Here is a 1,407-nt window from a genome sequence, read left to right as displayed (position 1 = left end):
TAAATGACTTTCTTCTTAATTATGTTCACTTAATTTTAAATAATATTTATGTTATTTATTAGGTGATGCCAAATTTAGGTTCATATTTTCCTAATTAGAATAACCCCCAGATATTGTGATATGTATTCTTATGGATCTAGATAAAATTCTGTTCTTTCATTTTTAAATTTATTTCTATAAATATACTAAAAATATCATATATAAAGCATTTTTCAAAACATTATTTTTATTCTCACATTTTATGACACTATTTTATTCAATGTCTTCACACATAAATTTGACATTGTACCTTTATTGGTACTAGAGGCACTTTTGGACTCATATAACAATTTTTCAGAACCTATTGTCTTTATTTCTGACTGACTAAATTGTTCAGATACAGCAAGTTTTGAATATCATTTGAAATTTTATACAAGCCCAATTGCTCATTCACATAACTTTAGAATAGTTTGTTTTTTGGTTTTGTTTTTAACATTTTCCTTGTGGGTACACACTGAGACCTCCCTAACATATCACTTAGTGTGTACCCTTAGAAATAATTTTTAAAATAATTTTTTATGATAAAATTGCTTATAAGTGTGAGGTCAGGCCTCCCTAAATTACTAGCTCTATGCTAAATTTTTTTTCTCTGTGTCTCTCTCACTTTCTCCCTCTTTCACTTAATTCACCAGGTGAGCTCAATATACATTCAAAGTAAAATCAATTAATGCCATTGCAGGCTAATCATTTCTAAACAATACTTTAAAGAAATGCAAAGGATGCTTCTACATTGAGTTGCTAAGGACTTAAGCACAAGCAATTCACTCTTTCTTGGAGATGGGATTTTGGAAACAAGACTTCCCAATCATGTAATCTACACTTCCTATTTATTTGTGTCACTATTTATTTCTTCTTCAAAAATATTTGCAATTCAGCGTCAACCATAGTTTACTATATTAAGCATTATTTATTGCTTTTCTGTCTTAAATTTAAAAATAAGCAAATTTTAGCTTCTTCTCTAAATCTAGAATTTATTTTTATGCACTTTAAAAAGAAGTAAAAAGTCATTTTCTTTGTCATTAATTTTTAGTTGTAACTTATGGGAGCTGTTCAGCAATTTTCACTGCTGCTCGTCAAGGTGTCTACATTTACTTCAGAAGAGGGCCTCTATCAACCTGTAAACACTCAAATGTTTATCTTTCTCAGTTTTTATCTGTAATTTTTAAATATTGTAGAACTTTGACTTTCTTCTAGTAGTTCAATGATGCTGTTTCCTAAAGCAGAATGACTACCTTACCTTTCGTTTGCAATCATAATATAAAAATGAATTAATAAAGGTGTCATTAAAAATAATAAAGCTTTTATAATGCTCTAGGTAATGAAATACGACTTTGCTTTTCTATGTATGCAGAACATCTAAAAGAATTC

General features: G+C 28.4%; 2 annotated features.

The window, feature by feature from the left end:
• Positions 253-829: an enhancer, noted in NCBI's record as "OCT4-NANOG hESC enhancer chr7:82841089-82841665 (GRCh37/hg19 assembly coordinates)". NCBI's record gives its function as "activates a minimal SCP1, AML or CMV promoter by ChIP-STARR-seq in naive and primed H9 embryonic stem cells {active_cell/tissue: H9 hESC(naive and primed)}" and the evidence as "EXISTENCE:reporter gene assay evidence [ECO:0000049][PMID:30033119]".
• Positions 830-1,407: an enhancer, noted in NCBI's record as "OCT4-NANOG hESC enhancer chr7:82840511-82841088 (GRCh37/hg19 assembly coordinates)". NCBI's record gives its function as "activates a minimal SCP1, AML or CMV promoter by ChIP-STARR-seq in naive H9 embryonic stem cells {active_cell/tissue: H9 hESC(naive)}" and the evidence as "EXISTENCE:reporter gene assay evidence [ECO:0000049][PMID:30033119]".

Source organism: Homo sapiens, chromosome 7 (assembly GCF_000001405.40).
Source record: "Homo sapiens chromosome 7, GRCh38.p14 Primary Assembly".
Taxonomy (NCBI): Eukaryota; Metazoa; Chordata; class Mammalia; order Primates; family Hominidae; genus Homo; species Homo sapiens.
Note: the sequence above shows the minus strand (reverse complement) of the source record. Positions and strands in the feature narration are given on the sequence as shown.